Source organism: Homo sapiens, chromosome 13 (genome assembly GCF_000001405.40).
Source record: "Homo sapiens chromosome 13, GRCh38.p14 Primary Assembly".
Lineage (NCBI taxonomy): Eukaryota > Metazoa > Chordata > Mammalia > Primates > Hominidae > Homo > Homo sapiens.
In genome coordinates this window covers 37,852,577-37,874,735 of record NC_000013.11, presented here as the reverse complement: position 1 = coordinate 37,874,735, position 22,159 = coordinate 37,852,577, and the positions used below count along the sequence as shown (strand labels likewise).

The window sequence follows — 22,159 nt, the reverse complement described above, 5'->3', positions numbered from 1 at the left end:
TTCACCAGGGAATCCCTACAGCCAGTTCTCTAACCTACAGATTGTTACTTAAATGTCTCCAGATTAAAGAAGACTCCCCTGACAACTGGTTAAAATTGCAACCCACCACCAATATCTGTCACCATCAGCATTTTTAGTCCCCATATCCTGTTCTTTTTTTTTTTTTTTTTTTTTTTTTTGGGACAAAGTCTCGCTATGTCGCCCAGGCTGGAGTACAGCGGCGCAATCTCGGCTCAGTGCAAGCTTCACCTCCCGGGTTCATGCCATTCTCCTGCCTCAGCCTCCAGAGTAGCTGGGATTACAGGCGCCCGCCACCACGCCCGGCTAATTTTTCTGTATTTTTAGTAGAGACAGGGTTTCACGGTGTTAGCCAGGATGTTCTCGATTCCTGACCTCGTGATCCACCCACCTAGGCCTCCCAAAGTGCTGGATTACAGGCTTGAGCCACCGTGCCCAGCCCCCATACCCTGTTCTTTTAATTGCCTTCTAATATAGTATGTAATTAACTTATTTAATATATTTATTATTTTTGTCTGTCCTCTTCAAAATATCAGTTCAGCAACGGCAGTATCTTATCTGTTTTGCTCACAGATGTATGGGAAGCACCTAGTACAATGCTTTGCACTCCATAAAATATTTAAACATAGACTCTGTAAATATTCGTTGAATGAATGTTGAGACTGGGATTTTAAATTTAGATAACATGATTCCAGGGTCTATGAAGTTAATGACTAAGCAATTGCCTTAAACATGAAATCATTTTTTAAAAGCTTGAAAAAATAAGTGAATATGAGAGGAAAAAGATATTAGGAGCATTAAAGCACTAAAATAAATTATCAGGGAAAATTTGATAGTTTAATGTTTGTAAGAATGAAACATCTTTAAAATAAATAACATTACCTCCAAATTTAACAAAGAATTAAAAACTGAGAAATATCTTCCATAAATATGGGAATGTACTAATGTTCAAATATTAAGAGTTATTATAAACCAAATGGGGGAATAGCAACAAAACCCCGTAAGTATTGAAAAAGTATGTAAACTCACAAAAAGAAACAAGTAGCAAAGTACACAAAATATAAAAGTCACCGTTTCTAGTTAACACAACTCATTGAGATACCATTTTCTTTCAAGTAGGAAATCAGTCAAAATAAAAAAAGAAAAGAAGAAAAAGGACCTTAAGGATGCCCCGTATTGATGAGGGTTCAATGCAACAAGCTCCCTTATAACATACAGCATGTACTTTAAAATATTTCTGCATCATGACACAGGGCTGTATTACTAGGAATCTATTCTGAGGACATAATTAGAGATACAGACAAAAATGCTTGTGTAACGGCTTTCAACAAAAGTATACCAGTAGGGAATAATAGTATAAAAACAATTACACTTTCAAGACCTGAAAAATACTTAAGTATTTCATAGAAATAAGTAGTGATTCATTAAAATTAACATTTTTGAATAACATTTTGATAACTTAGAAAATGTTAATTTTTTTAAAAAATAGGCAGGTAAAAGCTGTGTGTATAGCATGGCCATGTAGGTTAGATTGAAGCCTCATTACATTGATGACAGAACAGAGGATTCTAAAACCTGGAGCAGGAGCCAAATCCAAAAGTTAAGCTGAGGTGGAGCCCCTTCAGTGAGTTTGGGTGAGCCCTTGTGCAGTAGGAGGTAAAGGCCTGGTCACAAAGGTGGAAGACAGGTCACATGGGCATCAAAGACAATGATAACCTATTTCTTAATTTATCTTAGCATCAGAAAGGCCAATATCATATACTTCATGATGGCATCATACACAGATGCATTACTGGCACATAAAAATGCTGATGGTGACACATGTGCATGAATAAATTCTCCAAATACTTGTCTCTGTGACTTTGTCTCTATGTCTGAGGTATAACAGCTTTGAAACAGTGTTTCATACATGTTACATGTCAGCTCCTAAACAGAACAATAACCTTTAGGAGTAAAGTGAAAATTGTATTCCTAAAACAATTGTGATCCCAATTCTACAATATACTTTAGCTATAAATAGACATTACAGAGAATTGTTTTACTGCTATCATTTCTTGGGTCACTTGTCTCTTGCTAATTTGGAAACATGAGTGCTTTCTTGTTCTGTTTAATAAGGTACTAAAATAAATTCTAGATAGCATATAACATTTTATTGTAAATTTCTTTGACTTCAATGAATTGCATTTTATGTGGAGTGCAGGTTCGTAGAATGCTGCCAAACTCATATGTTTAAATTGTTAAAAATAAACTCTTTGGATTGCTAATGACTGTAGTATATGCAATTCACCAGATTGTTTAAACAGATTTCAAATAATTTTCCTGTAATTGCTAATCATTTTGTAGGAGACCTGAGACCAGCAATCAATAATCACATGAAACTGTTGAAAAGGAGGCTCAGTGATCAATACAAATTCTTCTTTCCGTGGGAATACAGCCTGCTCAGATGGTTGACATATATAGTGCTCTCCTTGGTGTTCTCTTCTGTTATGTATTTATTGCAGTTTCATAGGCACCTTTTTATGGAAAGAAATAACAAATTAGAAAAAATTGGTATAATATCTCTTTGCTGACATCATGACAGAGATAACATTTGCTACAAAGAACAAATCCTTAGAGGGCAGGAGCATCTAACTTGGTACAGATGCTAAGGTTGCAAAGTAAAGTTCATCACTTCTAAACAATGGACAAGTTTGTCACTGATCAGCTTTTCTCTTGCATGTATTTTAATATGCATTATAAAGACCTATACTCATTTCAGTATGTGGAATTCTATCTACCACGGGTTGATCTCAAAGATATAAACTCAAACACAGTATGTAGAATTTTGTTTTTCAGGCTAAGAAGAAACATTGTCAATAAATGTCACAAAAATACTTACAGTTCCATTAAATAAAATAGATTTCCATATATATGTTTACAGTCTCCCCTCCCTTGTTAGAAAGTGGACTTGAATTTATTATAAAGTTATTACCTTGTCTACTGATAGATACATTTTGCATATTTTTAAAAGCCTTCATTTAATGTTAAGAAAAGTAAAGAACTGTTTAAACATGTCAATATATTCTTCTTGTAGTAAAGAGTAAAAAGAGATTCAAGGAAGGAGAAAAGCCTTTTGTCGTTCTCTCCTTTGTTTACTGCAGTAGCATTGTAGAAACCAGGTTTATCTCAATGTATCTTAGTATTTTGGGAAGGACTTAGTATCTCAGAAATTTAGAATAGGGGTCTAGCTGAGCTGGGAACAAACCCATAGAGGAGCAGTTAGGCAGGGAGAAAGATAAATTAACAAATAAGAAAAGTGACTTAAAAAAAAAAAGCAGCATGCACAGTTACCCCAGCGTGATCTCTGGTAATATCCTCTTTACTCATGTGAAAACTATTTACAAAAACCTCAACTCATGTGAACTCTGAAGTGGGTAGGAAAGATAAAAAAGGAAATTCTTTAATTTTGTGCTTTAGAGTCTGAATATGGATGCCAGTTTGTCAGTTTATATTCCTTGGGAATATTCCATGGGAAGAAACTGGTCCGCCTTGCAGTCGGCACAGCACAGCTTCCCAGGTGTAACAACTTGGTTGGGATAGGAGAAAACGGTTGCTCCTAAGCTTTTGCGCAGACTGGAAGCTGAATCAGGCGTCTGCTGGGATACAATCAGAGACCAGCAGCTAACCTCAGGGCTTTCAGAAAATAACGGCAATCAGGTAGAAACAGAGTCTCGAGGAGGGTAATTGCCAGCTAGGATTCCTCAAGGGCTCCACTCTCTATCTTACACGTGAACTCTATCTTTCTCTGGGTCATGGGGTCACAACCAATTAAGACTTTCCGAGTGACAAGCTGGGAATCACCGTGTTGCAGTTACAGCAAGTGTTATTGCCAACTTTGCCAATAGTGTGTGTGTGGTTTGTGTGTGTGTGTATTCCTCTCTGTACTTTAATCTTATTTTCATATGTGAACACTAAAGAGATTGGACAAGAGATAACGTTTATCTTGAAATCTCACTCTCAGTAAGATGGTACCAGTATCGCACACACACACACTCGCACACACGCACATCACCTGCAGCCGCAGAACCTTGCACCCTTGGGCTGGCTCGCGTCTTAGGGTTTTGGTATATTTGGTGGAAACTTGCTGATTTCCTATGCCTTTTGGAAAGACCAAGCTGGATGAGGGTGGTTGGAACGCTGTGGCTCATCATTTATTCATTGCGACTGTTTTGATTGTTGACACTAGTGGCAAGCCGCATCCTCCAGCTCTTGCAAGGGAAGTCTGACACCTTGAGGACAGGAGAGGGGGTGCCAGTCGCCCAGAGAAGCGGGAGTGGGAGAAGCTTTGAGAGTTGCAGGGGACTACTTTTTTCCGGTCGGGCGGCGGGCCTCATGGGTGCTTGTTTACCGGGCTGGGAGCAGGGCATTCAAAAGCTGGGTGTCGGAGCGCACTGAAGTCCAACACGCCTGCAGAGACCGCCCTAAGCCTGGAGGTGTGTCTGGCTTGCATCCAGAACCACAGGGTGGATTCTCGCCACCGACTTGGCTGGATGACGGCTGGCTGGTGGTGAGCTCCCCTGCCCACTGGCTGACCTCAAGCAGTTGGCCCCGGTAGGTGGAGGCTATTCGAGGGGGACAAGCTGGGGACGCAGCGTCAGCTCCTGCCAGCGCGCGGGTCTCCTCCACCTCCAAGCAGTGTGGTGCGTGGGACGCGCATCTTCCCGGACTATCCCTTTCCAGCGCGGTCTGTGCGGACCCCGAGCCCGGCAGCCACCAGGGACGGAGGGCGGGGTGCCTTTCTCTGGGCTCATCCGCTGTCAGCCGTGGGAACTCTTAACTTTATCCAGAGGGATCTGTGCAGGCGGGGGTGGGAGAGGTTCTCCTCCCCTGGCGGTTACCTCCCCCTCCCGGGCCGCCCCTCCCCCGCCTCCCATGGCTTCGCTTTCAGAGCATCCTCACTCCGCCCAGTTCGGTGCCAGCTGCGTGGGCTCCAGCTTCGATCGTTTTCCTTGGAATGCTCCAAAACTCAGCAGCGACTAAGGGAATTCCATTGGAATTTGCCGGGCGTGCTCTCACCCCGCACGGCACCCGCGCCGTCAGTCCTCGGATCCCATCACTTCAGCCCGAAGATTGCAACTTTGCAGGTAAAGAGGATGTCGCCTCGGGGCTCCGTTCGACCGGAGCTACACCTCGCCTTCTTTCTGGGATCTCGGTTAAGTTTCCTAAGCTGCCTGGGAAGCCGGCTCTCTTCTGGGAGGCGGACATCCCTGCGGGGTTAGGAGTTCAAAAGGTTCTGGCTATGTGGTTTCTCTTCAAGGCTCAGGAAAAAAACCTGTGAAGCTTTCGGTGCTTGACTCGGGCTGAGCAGGAGTTTGGGGGTGCTCCTCAGTCTTCCGCCGCACTCGGCTTTAAAGCAGGGGAGAGGGCGAGGAGTGAACCCCCGGTGTGACTTATATGGTAAACAAAGGAGCTGCAGCCACGCCGTGGTGCTGGGGAATGTGGCCGTTTTTAGCCTTTTATGCATTTGGGGAAAATGGAGATCTCGGGGGCATCTGGGTGCATATAAGTGAGGCCTTAGCTCTCCGGCACTTAAAGTAGGGTAACGAAGGAAGGAGAGTGATCAATGTTCTACCGATCGATTACATTCTGCGTCGTTTTCATTCTCTGTCAAGAAACAGAAACACTTTTATCCGTGTTGCCCGACCCAGGCTAGTGATTCCTAGTTCGCCTGGCAACCGAGATTCCAATGAAGCCAATGAAGCCAATGACCCGGTTTGCTACTTGGTTAAATCACTGGGATTCACTGCACAACTTGTTGTTCCAGCTGTGAAGTCAGCTGTCTTTTGCGACTAGAGACAAGAGAATACTGGAAAGGCATCGAGGGTTTAGGAGAGCTGAGGAAAGGGATCTCTTATCTTGTCTGCCTGCATTCACTATGGTGTATCCACTATGGTGTATCCCTGTTCACATGGCTTCTTAGAGAGGCCCTTCCCAGTGAAATTCCATAGCTATAAAATGCAGCAAGTTGCTTAAGGAGTAAGCACCAAGCCAAAGGAGTAGGAAGAGACAGAAGGAAGCTTTAGTTGTTTTATTAAAAAAAAAAATAGACAGACTTGTAAAACTTTTTCAGTTTTAATAAAACACCGCCTCTCAGAGCTCATATAATTTCTGCCTTTCCTTTCACAGTACATAATCACAGCACAAAGAATATTACAAATTCTTTAAGCAAAAGGTTTACTGGAGGGTTTTTTGGTTTGGGGTGTTTTTGGTAAAACTCTAAATTAGACATTGAGAGTAAGAGTGGGTGGAGATGTTAAAATGTTGAAATCTTCATCATTGTGTTGGGTTTGCTATTTAAAGTTACATTTGTAGCGCCTACTTTCTTATTCACCTGGACACTATTGTCCAGAAAACATCCTCCTTAAATGTTTAAGGGGGGAAAAAAAACAATAAGATCAATTTCAATTTACTTGCTCACTGGTCATTCTGAAAGATATATGAGTTGGAATAGATTTTCATTACTTATAACCTTTAAAATTTTGTAATGGTTATATTATTTATTTTTCTGTTGCACTTATTTCCAAAAGGTCAAGATAAAACTGCATTAAAAAGTCTATGACAGAGTTAAAGTTCTCTTTGAATTTTATAGCTATTTTAATTATTAGACCAGTAAGAGACCAAATAACTTTTCATATAAAATAACCTTAATCGATTCATACTGTGTATTAATAGGAAATAACAGAAGCAATCTTTATATTCTTTCTCATTAGAGGAAATTTTAATGTCTTATTCTATACACACATTTCAAACTAACTTTCTAACTTATGCTCCATGGAGAACTACAGCCATCTATAGGACTGAAAAGTTACCTGTTTCAACATCCTCATTTAGGAATCCAAAGCTAAATAAATATTAAAAAACAACAACTTATGTTTATAAACTATTACATCATTTTAATTGGTAAGGAATCTGGAAGTTAGATTGGCTATTTTTCAATATTTGGATGGCTGTGTCTATCAATATTTTTGTGAACTAGATGTTGTTATAAACTTCACTGTAATAACTAAGCTTAGAAAAATTGCTGTTTCTGAACTGTAGATGAAAGATAGAAACAATGACAATCATTATTTTTAATTTTTCTTTTATGATTTCAAAGTTATAAACATCTGATCATCTAGTCAAATGCTATCAGCATACCCTGTGATAAAGACAATTACATTTGTATTGAAATATAATAACCCCCTTTAAGATGCACTGATTTTAACCCCACTGAATTAAAACTACTTTTAAGTGTATATTTTTGGAAATAGTCTGTTTTATTTTTATACCTGCATGTTTAATTGCCAGGATTATTTATAGCAATTCAGATGATCAGCATTATATTTAGCAGCTGAAAACTGAAATAATTTCTCTTTTCTGATCGATGCATATATTGGAACAAAAATAAAAATATGCACACATTTGTTCAATAGTAAGTATTGTAACTATCAGTGCTTAAAGTTAGTATAGATATATAAGTAAAGATAGATATATGAGAAATACTAAGCAGTAGCTAGAACTATAAAATTAGGGACTGAATATTTTATGAAAATATGATTGTTGTATTTTTGAAAATAATGTCAGGTAAAGGGAAAATACAATAAACTATTAAATTTTCCTTTTTCCAAAACCATCATTGCCATATAGCTTATGAAATCAAATTCTAATGTGCACTTTGACTTTAGAAATTGAATTGCCTAGACTCAATTGGAACCAGTGTTATTGACCTCTTTAATGCCTATGGAAACCCCACCATGATTATTTGGTTCTCATTAAAAATGAGGTTGAGGAGACAGCTCAAAATAAAAACTTTGCCTTTTCACCTAATTTATACCCTATACCCGCCCCCCCCCACAAAAAATAAACATTAAAACTGGTTCGACTCAACCCAAATTTAATTGGGAATTTGTTTCTATCTAGTTATAATGAAGAGTTGATTTAGAACTATCTCACTACTCATGTTTTCTATTTCTCACCCTTCCAGAGGCATTGACCCCGCAATATTTTAAGAGATTTGAGAATATTTTGATCAGGGATATAATATCATGGCTGTGTCTTTTTAATCAGCACAAATATAGACCTAATTTTTGAGAACATTAGTATTACCAAAATAACTTTATGATGCAAAAAATGCATTTAGGGAAAGACACCATTTGTTTGGGAAACTGAAAATTAAAGGCATGCGCATTGAAAATGTATTAATTCAAAACCTTGTGGTTTCATGAACTATTTAGCAAATTAAGTGCTGTATTTAAATGTTTAAAAAATATAAGTGACCCTCCTGAAAGTTGTTTAATTTTAATAGAATAAGAAAGAAATAGTTTCAGAACTTGATCTACTATTGTAACTAAACTGTATGTAATATCCTATTAATATTAGTGTATGTTTTATCTCTCTTTTTAAAAATATAGCAGTGTCATAGAATAATGACTTCTTGAGAGACACTAAGTGACACATGGACACAGTGTTACATATAAAATTAGAAATGTTAATTAAAACATTAATTTAAAAATATGCCTTGATAGCTTTATCTAGCACACTGCATTCTTTTTGAGAAATGACAGTGAAATTAAATGAATCAGATATTCATTAATTATATTCTGTCTGTGGTTTGCTGTTAGATTTTGAAATATGTTGAAAAATTACTTCAAGCAAATACTATCAAGAGTTCAAATTTACCTGAAACAGGACCTATTGTGAAAAAAGAAAAGAGGGAAAATGGGCCAATATTTATGAGAATTTAATGTACACTTGGCACTATGTGAGAAACTTTGAAAAAGAAAGCTATTTTTCATTGTTATCTTAACATCTACCTTGAAACTGAAGTATTATCACATTTTAACAACCTGAGAAAGATGAAATTTATGAAAATCACAAAATTGCTTTGTGGGAAGGCAGGATTTGAAGTATATCAAATTTTACTATCAGGTACTACGTCTACCTGATGGTAAAGACTACACTCTTTTTACTTAATTCCTGTGGTTTCTAAAATACAATCAATAATCTTTTAACAAGTTTCATAAATTCATTTTTTCAGCTATTTGTTTCTTGAATTTTAAAAATATTATAACATTGGAATATAAACAACTGTCCCCATCATGGGGATAGAATTTGAAACAATAGTCTGTTAAAGTTCCATCAGTTTTGAAGCAGAGCAAGAGATAAGCTACTTATCTTGAGCAGGATGATCTCAAAATGACTTCCTTTCTTATTCTTAAATATAAATCTAATACATGTAAAAAGAAAAAAAAAGTTTGTTTTTATGAACAAAGTTCAAGATTATAATTTTTTAGAAATACTCATGAGCTTATAATTTATAAATAAAAAGTTATCATGCTAACCTTTTGACCATCTGTAAGCTGGTAATAAAATGTCTTTATTAAAAAAAAGGTCATGCTAGGCCATGTTAGGTTTATACTACATCTTATCAATGTTATGTAAAATTTCTAGACAAGTGTATTTGTTTTAGTTTTCCCTGAAATTTTAATTTTCCAATTATTTTAATGTCCCTTGGTATTTGAGAGGAGCTCTCATTCATGCATCCCAAAAGACATCGATTAGCTGAATTTGTCATGATATTTACTAAACATATATATGCATTTGCGCTGACAGGATTGTGTCCAAAACCTATTGACATTGAGGTTGAAGGAATACTTTCTTTGAATATATGTACTACCATTACAAAAGTTATCACTAAAATCTTATCCATTCAGTAGATATTTGTTGAATATTAGTAAATGAATAATTGAATCAATAGATGAATGGCACATGCGTAAGCTTTTCATTTTTGTTGCATTTCCTGGCAAAGCTCCCTCTGTCTAGAATAACTTCTACCTTTTTGTTTCTGTAAAAATATTCTGCAGGCACTAAAGCCTAGTTAGTGCCTAGTTAGTGCCTAGTTTGTGCCTAGTTAAATCCAATATGACCGTATCCTTGAAAGTTTCCTTCATTTCTCCAGATGTCCCAAGTATAAATACAAGCAAAGAGCTTGTTATATTCTGTCTTGCAGGCTGGCAAAGATCTGTCTCCAGATCTAGACAGTAAACTTTTTAAAGAAAACCGGAGGATTTTCAAAACTGTGTGAGTTTGTAACTGAATTAGAGTGCCATAAATACTATGCTTCATAATTGACATAATTAATGTATTTTATACTTTCATAATATTGTACTTGGCTAAACTTTTAGCATATTTTTATATAATGATGCCAATTGTGATAATGTTGCACTTATACAATATATTGAGTACCATATTATTTCTTATGTTACAAAAATAATTTACCCACCATTATTCAATAAACTTAACTTTCAGTCAGCTACTTACTCTATAATGCTCATTTTTATAGGATTTATATAACCAGTTATTAATGTGTTTCAGTTTAAGTGGTACTGTGCCAGAATTCTTAAAGGAGGGCTTTTGTTCCATTACACTATGAGAGGAGTAGTTAGAGTTGAAAGAGGACAGATACAAGTGTTTCTCAGGAATGCTTACTGAACTAAAGAAAGCCAGAGACTTCTTTGGAGTGATATTTGGAAAGTAAGTTGAGAGTGCATTTCAAAGACTTGACAATACATGATGTTCCATTGTGGGTGGCATGAGGGATTTGTTTTAAATTATTTTCATTCTACTTCATTGACAATAGAGTTTTTACAAATCAGATTATGAAAAGTGTTCAGATACTCTGCCACATTTTTAATGCATTTCATCTCTAAATGATAGTGGAGAAGTAACACAATTTGCATACCGGGATCATAGTTCATAACACATTGTAATTTTTATTTTCACAGAATTAGTATAATAGTGCTGACTATGTGCTTTTTGAATAGATGAGTGAAATAAATGAATGCATAGATGATTGAATTGGTCTGTCATCAGCTGCTATGCTCAACCTCTTTAACACACTGTTCATTCAAGTAGCTGATCATACACCAATATGAATCTCCAAAAACACAATGGAGGGATGAGAGGACAGGCATAGTGTACATGGAGTGAAGAACAGAGAATCTATCATGATTTATGTACAATCATCTCCATCATTTATGACAGCATGAGTTTCTTTTTATGTAAAGATCCCTTTCATTCTAAGGTAAAGTGAAGCTGCATGCCCTGAATCACACTGAGGTCACACTTTAAATGAATGCTCTTTTGTGGTAGTTGCAGTTTGACAAGCAGAGTTGGGTCTTCTTTAATTTTATCTAGAGCCCAATATGTACAGGAATATAATATATATGTGTATACAACATACATATAAGTATATATGTGTAAACACACAAACATATATGTAATAACAGTAAATAACAAGTAATAAAGAGTGGGAGACTGCTTGAGTGTGAGACACAAATTATTATCAAATAGTATAGAGTAACCCATAAAGGACCACAGTATTTGTTTTTGAATATGTCAGTGTCCCTATAAAATGGTTAGATTTGCAATGAATGACTTGGAAGATCATCTTATTTAAAAGTATGTTTGTAAGTAGGCCCCCTAAATCTTTCTATATGATCATGCAGTCATACATCAAATACGTCCTGAGAAAGGCATCATTAGGCAATTTCATCATTGCACGAACATCATGGAGTGTACTTACACAAACCTAGATGGTAGAGCTTACTACATACCTAGGCTATATGGAATAGCCTATTTCTCCTAGGCTACAAACCTGTGTAGCATGCTACTGTAGTGAATACTGTGGGCAATTGTAAATATACAATGGTAGGTATTTGTGTATTTAAACATAGAAAAAGTACAGTAAAAATACAGTATTATAATCTTATGGGCCCACCGTCATGTATATAGTTCATTGTTGCCCAAAATGTTGTTATGTGATGCGTGACTGTGTATTTCTCTGTCTACACATACGCACACATACACACACACACGAGCACACACTTTACTGAGGTCTTAATACATAACAGTCACTCTGCTAGATTCTGAGGATACAGAGATGAACAAGACATATTTTCCTTTTTCTTTAATATTTTAAGCAAAGTTTGTTCATAAGCCTCTTATCACACTCCAGTGTCCTGTATTATCTAAAACATATTTGGCAACCTTATTTTCTCCTGATCCTTTCCCATGACAACTCTGAACTCATTAAATAAATAACATAAATTATATTACAATGAGTAGAGTCTATACTTGACATTTAAAAGACAAAACAAAACAAAACAAAAACTTTGGGCCATGGTGGAATCAATCTAAATATATCCTTTTTGCCACTAATTACTGTTTTCCGTAAGAGTAGGACTTAAGTTTTTTTACTGTAAATCCGTGTTAAATTTAAATAGCATTATTGACACTATTAAAAACAGTGTTTTCCTTTTATACATAGATATTACCAAATTACCATTCACAGGCTATGTATTGTAAGAGGTAAGTTGTTTTCCAAAGTCTGGTTGGATTTTTGGTGTTACAGTCACATGTTACCCTACCCCACATGGAACCAATGAAGCAAACCTAAGAAGGCACTTTTATAGTTAGGGATATAATGACCTGGATTCTCACCACCCTACCCCTTTCTCTAGAGACAGTAGAGACCTTGGCTTAAGAGATTCTTAGAAGGTCAGATCAAATTTAGAGAAATCTAGGAGTACTCAGGGCCCACTGTTAGTGTTTTCTTGTGGGCTCCTCTGTCTACAGCTACGTCTATCGAAAGCCTAGAAATAGACTACCTTTCTCATGGCCTTTAATCTTGAAAATGAAGAAGGGACTGGACTAGATACATTCCTCCTTTTTAAAAAAAACCATTATTGGAACCTGCATTCCTAGGTCTACCAATGGTACCAGAATGTTTTGCTTTCTGAGGGTTATCATGCAAAATAATTAGAGTGCCTACCTCTAAGCATCTGAGAGCCTCTAAAATAAAGGATAAAGAACATTTAAAGATATGTCCCTCTGCATGTGCTGTATAAAAAGAGATGCTGGCACTGGGGAAAGCGTTATTTGCTTATCTGGTTCATTTTAACCTCACAGCTTAACATTTTGATTTGTAATGTGCAAGCTACTTGGAGCTGAACTGCACATTTTTATTTAGCACTCCAGCACGTTCTTGGAACAAAGTGAACCAGCAAATGATTTTGCCCTTTCATGAATAAAAGAAGCTTTAATAAATAACATTTCATTATAACAGTATTTATGATAAATATTTTTCCATCATATAAAAATGTCAACAATTTTAACCTGAAGAATAAGAACTGCTTTGCATTCTATTGTATTTAGCAATGAACCACTAAAACCAGAACTTAAAGCAGAACTTGCTGGTATACTTAAGTACTTTCTTATCAGTTACTACATTGCTGTAATTGAAATATTGTATATAATTAAAAAATGAAAATTGCCCATTTTTAGATTAATAGTTAATGGCAATAATTATTGGCAACATCAAATGCAGAAGATCTGTTTTTAAATTAAACATTTTAGCCTCTGATTTTTTTAAAAATGTAAATATCTACAAAGTAAATATACAACCCAATTGAGAAAAAGTAAACAAATTGAACACTTGCAATGATCAATTTTTGAATAACTTAGTATATCTGAAGCATATAACCTAAATCATTTCAGTTTATCTAAATGAAGTTTTTTAAAAGATAATCTACTTTCTTATAATGCTTCTGGTTTTGAGAGTCACAATGAGATCTTTTCATCTTTGATATATAAAAGGATTATTGTCAAATATTTAATGTGATTAATGAGACTCTACTCATAAAATACACTGGAATTCAATTTATTTTAGAAGTGTTTCAGGTTCTGCCTGAAATTCATCTGGATTACTTTAAATATAATGAAATAGATACATAAGTAAACCGAAGACAGCGACTGCTCAAAGCGTTTCACATACCCTTTGTTTCTTCAATATTATACTCTGCTAGCACTCCATCAGTCCTACAAATGGGAATTTTCAATTGTCTAATTGGATCTAGGATTGGAGGCTTATGACAGAGGAGCTGCCGTATATGAATTCACATTCCCTGCTGCCTCAACCATAGTAGGGTACTTCCATATGTAGGTGGTGCATATGGTGAAAATCCATATTTATGCACATTTATAAAATTGTGGTAAGATTATGTTTTCATAGTGAGATGGAATTATAACCTTGATTGAATTATGCCTTCTGATGAAATCCAATTACTGATTTATTTGTTCTCCATAGGTTGGACATAGACATTTCTTCCTAGTCTATGTAAGAAAATTTTATATGAAGAAAGGCTTAAACAAAAAGGTTTTAAGAAAGGAGATTTCAGGTTATTACATTGTTCCTTTGTGTACAGAAAAGGCACATTGAATTTAGTCTGTTGTGCTTCAGAAAAATGATCTATTGTTCTCTCTATGGCATTATGAAGATAATATCATTACATGATTCGTGGTGGGTTTGAGTGTTTTACACTAAAATGAGTGCTCAATATAATCCTAAAGAAAAATATTAAAAATATTCACCATATGAATATTTTCAAATGTCCTGTCTAAAATAACAAAATACTTGATATATTACTGATGTTGTTAATCATTGTTAATAGTTTATTTTAAAAACAGTTTAACATTTTAATTTTAATTTATGCAATAAGTACTTTCAGTTCATTTTCCTAAACTCTTACCAGTATGGTATTTTGAAAGTGTTTGCTAGTTACCAGAAATATAAGTGTAACACAAAACAATGCAAAATATTTATCCATATGTTTGATGAGCTATTTTTGTCTTCTTACCCTAAAGTAAGTTGAAATACATCGGAGGATGGTATGTTTATCTTTTAAAATATATAATTTCTATGCACCAACACATGTGCATGGAGGTGGGGGTGGGGAGCCTGAGCTGGATAGATGATTTTTTATTTTTTCAGAAGTAATGATTAGTATGTTTTATTTTCTATTTTAGTTTTATTTTTAATTTTTATAATCACAGATATCACAGATGTTTTTCTAGATGACATCTATTCCTTCTAGTACCAACATGTATCTTGACAGATTAAGAGTTCTCTTTAGTACACATTTCATTGTATGTTGACTATGAATTTTTTATTTTTGTGTGATTGAAATGTTTTTGTTTTAACCTCACTTTTAAAGTTACTTTCATTAGCTAGAGTATTCTAGGTTGGAAATTCATTTCATTTCGGTACTTTCAAAATGCTGTTAAATTGACTTTCAACTTCTACCATTTCTGTTGAAAAGTCAGCTGTGAGTCTGATGATGCTCTTTGAGGTTAATGTGTGTTTTCTTTTTGCTGTTTTTATGTTTTCTCTTACTCTTTTATTATCAGCAGTCATCCAATTATGTGTCTAGATGGTGTCCTTTTATTTCTACTGTTTGACATTTGGACCATTTTCAAAGCATGGCTTCCTGTCTTTCATTACTTTCAGAAAAATTTTGGTCACTATCTCTTTAGATATAGCTTTGACCTTCATTTTTTCCTTCTTAAGACCTCCAAATAAAGATGTATGTAGCTTTTCACACTATGTCATGTTCTAGTAAACTGTACTTTTTCTTTTAATGCTTTTTCCATTTATTTTTGTTCTCTGTGTTGTAATCTGTATATTTTATTTACAGCTCTCTTCCCATTTATGAATCCTCTTTTTTCACCATGTCCTATCTGTAAACTGATTTATTTATTCATTTTGTATATTTTTTATTTTTAATTTTTTGTGTACATAGTAGGTGTATGTATTTATGGGGTACAAGAGATATTTTGATGCAGGCACGCAGTCAGTAATAATCACATCATGGAAAATGGGGTATCTGTTCACTTGACCATTTATCTTTTATGTTACAAACCATCCATTTATGCCCTTTTAGTTATTTTTAAATGTAAAGTTAAATGAGTTTGACTTTAGTCACAGTTGTGATATCAAATACTACATATTATTCATTCTTTCAAACTATTTTTTGTGCTCATTAACTGTCCCCACTCCCTCTCAACCCCCATTACCCATACCAGCCTCTGGTAATCATCCTTCTACTCTTTATCTCCATGTGTTCAATTGTTTTGATTTTTATATCCCACAAATAAGTAAGAACATATAATACTTGTCTTTCTGTGCTGTCTCTCTGTGTGTTCACTTAACATAATACCTCCAGTTCCATCCATGTTGTTGTAAGTAACAGGATCTCATTCTTTTTTATAGCTGAATAGTACTTCATTGTTTATATGTACCACATTTTCTTTATCCATTCATCTGTTGACGGATACTTAGGTTGCTTACAAATTTTGACTATTGTGAAAAGTACTAAGACAAACATGGGAGTGTAGATATCCCTTCGATATACTGATACGTTTTATTTTGGGTATATACCCTGCAGTGGGATTGCTGGAATTGCTGGATCATACAGCAGCTCCATTTTTAGTTGTTTGAGGCATCTCCAAACTGTTTTTCATTGTGGTTGTATTAATGTACATTCCCACCCACAATGTATGAGGGTTCCCCTTTCTCCATATCTTCTCTAGCATTTGTTATTGTCTGCCTTTTGAATAGAAGCCATTTTAACTGGGGTGAGGAGATATCTCATTGTAGTTTTGATTTGCATTTCTCTTATGGTCAATAATGTTGGGCACCTTCTTGTGTGCCTATTTTCCATTTGTATGTCTTCTTCTGAGAAATATCTATTCAAATCTTTTGCCTGTTTTTGATCAGATTATTAGATTTTTACCTATAGAGTTGTTTGAACTTCTTATATATACTAATTATTGAACCCTTGTCAGATGGGTAGTTTGAAGATATTTTCTCCCATTCTATGGGTTGCCTTTTTACTTTGTTGATTGTTTCTTTTGCTGTGCAGAAACTTTTTAACTTGATGTGATCCCATTTGTCCATTTCTGCTTTGGTTGTCTATGCTTGCGGGGTATTACTCAAAACCTTTTTTCCCAGACCAGTGTTCTGAAGCGTTTCTCCAAAGTTTTCTTGCAGTGGTTTTATAGTTTGAGGTCTCAGATTTAAATTTTTAAGCCACTTTGATTTGATTTTTGTATATGATGAGATTTAAAGATCTAGTTTCATTATTCTGCATATGGATATCCAGTTTCCCAGTATCATTATTGAAAAGACTGTCCTTTCTCCAGTGTGTGTTTTTGGCATCTTTGTTAGAAATTAGTTCACTGTGGGTGTGTAGATTTGTTACTGTGATCTCTATTCTATTCCATTTGTTTAAGTGTCTGTTTTTATGCCAAAATCATGTTGTTTTGGTTACTATAGCATTATAGTATAATTCAAAGTCAGTAATATGATTCCTCCAGTTCTGTTATTTTTGCTTAGGATAGCTTTGGCGATTCTGGGTCTTTGTGGTTGCATATACATTTTAGAATATTTTTTCAGTTTCTGTGAAGAATGTCATTGGTATTTTGAAAGAGATTGCATTGAATTTTTAGATTTCTTTGGGTAGTATGAACATTTTACCAGTATTGATTCTTCCAATCCATGAAAATGAAATATCTGTCCATTTTTGGTGTCCTTTTTAATTTTTTTCATCAGTGTTTTATAGTCTAAATTGTAGAGATCTTTCATTTCCTTGGTTATTTCATAGGTATTTATTTTTATGTGTGGCTATTGTAAATGGGATTACTTTTTATTTCTTTGTCAGATTGTTTACTGTTGGCATATAGAAATGCTACCAATTTTTGTACATTAATTTTGTATCTTGCAAGTTTATTGAATTTGTTTATCAATTCTAATAGTTTTATGGTGGAATCTTTAGGTACTATGTTGAATAAGAGTTATGAAAGCGGGCATCCTTGTCATGTTCCAGATCTTAGTAGAAACACTTTCAATTCTTCCCCATTTCTATGATACTAGATGTGGGTTTGTCATATATTGCTTTTATCATGTGAAGGTATATTGTTTCTATATGCAGTTTTTTGAGAGTTTTTATCATGAAGGATGTTGAATTTTATTAAATACTTTTTCAGAATCAATTGAAGTGATCATATGGTTTTTACCCTTTAGCATGGTTTAACCCTTTAGTTTATATGATGTATCACACTGATTGATTTGTGTATGTTGAACCATCCTTGCATTGCAGGGATAAATCCAACATGGTCATGATGAATGACCTTTCTAATGTATCATTTAATTCAGTTTGCTCATATTTTGTTGGGGATTTTTGTCTCAATATTCATCAGAGATATTGGCCTGCAGTTTTCTTTTTTTTTAATGTGTCTTTGTCTGGTCTTGGTATCAGGGTAATACTAGCCTTGTAGAATGAGTTTGGAGTTATTCCCTCCTCCTCAGTTTTTTGGAATAGTCTGAGTAGTATGGGTATCAGTTCTTCTTTAAATGTTTGGTAGAATTCAACAGCGAAGGCATCAGATCCTGGGCTTTTTTTTTTTTTTTTTACTAGGAGACTTTATTATTACAGCTTTGATCTCATTACTTATTATTGGTATAGTCAGGTTTTGGATTTGTTCATGGTTCAATTTTAGTAGGTTATATGTGTCCAGGAATTTGTCCATTTCTTCTAGATTTTAGAATTTATTGGCATGTAGTTGCTCATAACAGCCACTGATGATCCTTGGGATTTCTGCAATATCAATTGTAATGTCTTCTTTTCCATTTCTAAATACATTTATTTGGATCTTCTCTCTTAGTCAGGCCAGAGGTTTGTCAGTTTTGTATATCTTTTCAAAAAACAAACTTTTTGTTTCATTGATCTTTTGTATTTTTCTCTTAATTTCAATTTCATTTATCTTGTCTGATCTTTATTATTTCTTTTTTTCTACTAATTTTGGGTTTAGCTTGCTATTGCTTTTCTAGTTCTGTAAGAAGCATCCTTAAATCATTTATTTGAAGTTTTTCCTCTTTCTGATGTAGGCACTTACAGCTATAAACTTTCCTCTTAGTACTGCTTTAGCTGTATCCCATATGTTTTGGTATATTGTGTTTCCATTGTAATTTGTCTCAAGATATCTTTCAATTTCCTTCTTAATTACTTTATTGATGCACTGGTCATTGAGGAGCATATTATTTAATTTCCATGTGTTTGAATAGTTTCCAAAATTCCTCCTGTTATTGATTTGTAGTTTTATTCCATTGTGATGAAAGAAGATGCTTGCTATTACCTCAATTTTTTGAATGTTTTAAGACTTGTTTTGTGACTTAACTTATGGCCTGTTCCTGAGAATGATCCATGGGCTGAAGCAAGGAATGTATATTCTGCAGATTTTGGGTAAAATGTTCTATAAATATCTATTAAGCCTATTTGTCCTATAGCACAAGTTAAGTCTGATGTTTCTTTGTTGATATTCTGTCTGGGAGGTCTGTCCAGTGCCAAAAGTGGGATGTTGAAATCTCCAGCTGTGATTGTATTGAGGTCTATCTATCTCTTTAATAACATATGTTTTTCTATCTGGGTGCTTTAGAATTAGGTGCATATATATATATATATATATCTACATTGTATATATCTACATGTGTATATATATATATATATCTACATTGTATCCTGTTGCTGGATTGACTCCTTTGATATTATATAGTGACCTTCTTTATCTCTTCTTACAGTTTTTGTCTTGAAATCTATTTTGTTAGATATATGTGTAGCTACTCCTGCTTGCTTTTTTAAAATTTCCATTGGCATGTAATATCTTTTTCCAACCCTTTATTTTCAGTCTATGTGTATCTTTATAGTAGTGTGTTTCTTGTAGGCAAATAGAACATGGGGCTTTATTTTTTTATCCATTCAGCCATACTGTGTCTTTTGATTGAAAAGCTTATTCTATTTACATTCAAGGTTGTTATTGATAAATAGAGACTTACTCTACAGCCATGTGACCCTGAATTCACCCAATCTCATCTGATCTTGGAAGCTAAACAGGGTCAGGCTTGGTTAATACTTGGATGGGAGACTTACTCCTACCATTTTGTTGTTTTCTGATTGCTTTGTGGCCTTCTCTTCCTTTTTTACTGTCTTCTTTCCATGAAGGTAGTTTTCTATGGTGTTATGATTTAAGTTTTTGGTTTGTATTTTCAGGGTATCTGTTGTGTGATTTTCAATTCGAAGTTACCATGAGGCTTGCAAATATTATCTTATAATCTGGTATTTTAAATTGATGACAATACTGATTGCATAAACAAACACACAAAAGGAAAATTAATAAAAACTCCACACTTAGCTTTATTCCTCTGCTTTTTAACTTTCTATTGTTTCCCTTTATGTCATATTATACTGTCTACATAACAATTGCAGTGTTATGGTATTCTGTGTTTTACTGTGTGCTTACTATTACCAGTGAGTTTTTATCTTTAGATGATTCTTTTCTTGATCATCAACACCATTTTCTTTTAGATTGAAGAACTTTCTTTAACATTTCTTGTAGAACAGGTCTGGTATTGATGAAATCCCTCAGCTTTTGTTTGTCTGGGAAAGTCTTTACTTATCCTTCATGTTTGAAGGATAGTTTTGCTGGATATACTATTCTAGGATAATTTTATTTTTCGTTCGGCACTGTAAATATGTCATGCCACTCTCTCAGCCTGTAAGGTTTTCACTGAAAAGTCTGCTGCCAGACATACTGGGACTCACATGTATGTTATTTGTTTCTTTTCTCTTGCTGCTTTTAGGATAATTTCTTTATCCTTGACCTTTGGGAATTCAATATTAAATGTTTCAAGGTAGTTGTCTTTGGCTTAAATCTGCTAGGTGTTCTATAACCTTTTACTTGAATGTTGATATCTTTCTCTAGGATTGGGAAATTCTTGGATATTACCCCTTTGAATATACTTTCTATCCCTATCTCTTTCTCTACTTCCTCTTTAAGGCCAATATCCATTAGATTTACCCTTTTGAGGCTATTTTTTACATCTTATAAGCATACTTCATTTTTTTATTATTTTTTCTTCTGTCTCCTTTGACTGTGTATTTTCAAATAGCCTGTCTTTAACCTCACCAATTCTTCTGCTTGAGCAATTCTGCTATTAAGTTACTCTGATGCATTCTTCAACATGTGAATTACATTTTTCAACTCTAGAATTTCTGCTTGATTCTTTTCAGTTATTTTAATCTCTTTGTTAAATTTATATGATTGGATTCTGAACTCCTTCCCTGTGTTATCTGCAATTTCTTTGAGTTTCCTTAAAACAGCTATTTTGAGTTCTCTGTATGAAAGGTCACATGTCTCTGTTTCTCCAAGATTGGTCCCCAGTGACTTATTTATTTCATTTGTTGAAGTCATATATTTTCCTGCATATTCTTGATGCTTATAGGTGTTCTTTGCTGTCTGACCATTGAACAGTTAGGTGTTTATTGTAGTCTTCACAGTCCAGACTTGTTTTTGCCTATCCTTCTTGAGAAGGCTTTCCAGCTATTCACAGGGACTTGGGCCGCAAGCCCAATATCACTGAAATTTTTGCAGACTTGTAGGGGTCCTGCCTTGGTGGTCTTTAATAAGATCTGTAGTAATTCTCTGGATTACCAGGAAGAGACTGTTATTCATTTACCTCACTTTCAGGTAAACAAATAAGAGTCTCTTTCTTTCTGGGCTGACCCAGCTGGAACTAAGGGTATGGTTATGCAGGCACTTCTGTGGCCAGCAGCACTAGACTTTGTTGGGACTGACCTAAAGCCAGCACAGCACTGGGTCTTGCCCAAGGCCTGCTGTAACTGCCACCTGGCTACCACCTATGTTCACTCAAAGTCCTAGGCCTCCGCAATCGGCAGGCCAGGTTTTTATTCTTTTCCCCAGGGCAGTGAGATTCCCCAGGCTCTCGGTGACTCCAGAGATGGTTTCTGAAAGTCAGGGATTAGAGTCAAAAGTCTTAGGAATTTGCCTGATGTTCCATTCTACTGCAGCTAAGGTGAAAGTCAGACCACAATAGGAAGTCCTTCCCACTCTTCCTTCTCCTTTTCACAGGCAAAGGAGCTTCATCTGGTGGGCATCACCACCACTGGCCCATGGTGGAGTTCTGCCAGGCCACTGCTAGTGTTCACTTAATGCCCAAGAGTTCTTCAGACAGCTTGTGGTAAACGCTGCACAGCCTGGGACTCACCCTTCAAGGTAGCGGGCTCCCTTCTGGCCCAGGACAGGCCTAGAAATGCTAGGAGCCCGGGCCTGGACTCAGGGACCCCAAGTGCCTGCTTATTGCTCTGCCCCACTGTGTGCAAGCTGGTACCTAAGGTGCAAGAAAATTTCCCCTTTACTTTTCCCTCTGCTT

At 35.4% G+C, this 22,159-nt stretch overlaps 1 protein-coding gene, 1 long non-coding RNA gene and 1 pseudogene across 10 annotated transcripts in view; 2 read left to right on the top strand and 1 right to left on the bottom strand.

The window, feature by feature from the left end:
- LOC124903160 (uncharacterized) lies at nt 837-5,593 on the bottom strand. Its single transcript, XR_007063762.1, has 2 exons — nt 4,070-5,593; nt 837-2,531 (listed from the first exon to the last, which is right to left on the bottom strand). It is a non-coding gene; the product is annotated as an uncharacterized LOC124903160 (long non-coding RNA).
- TRPC4 (transient receptor potential cation channel subfamily C member 4) overlaps nt 4,964-22,159 on the top strand; it is a 237,710-nt gene continuing 220,514 nt past the window's right edge. For all 9 annotated transcript variants that reach the window (NM_001135958.3, NM_001354806.2, NM_001372055.1 and 6 more), the window contains exon 1: nt 4,964-5,141. The gene's annotated coding sequence lies outside the window, so the exon portion shown is untranslated. The remainder of the gene's footprint in view (nt 5,142-22,159) is intronic.
- On the top strand, nt 19,766-19,884 carry RNA5SP26 (RNA, 5S ribosomal pseudogene 26; annotated as a pseudogene).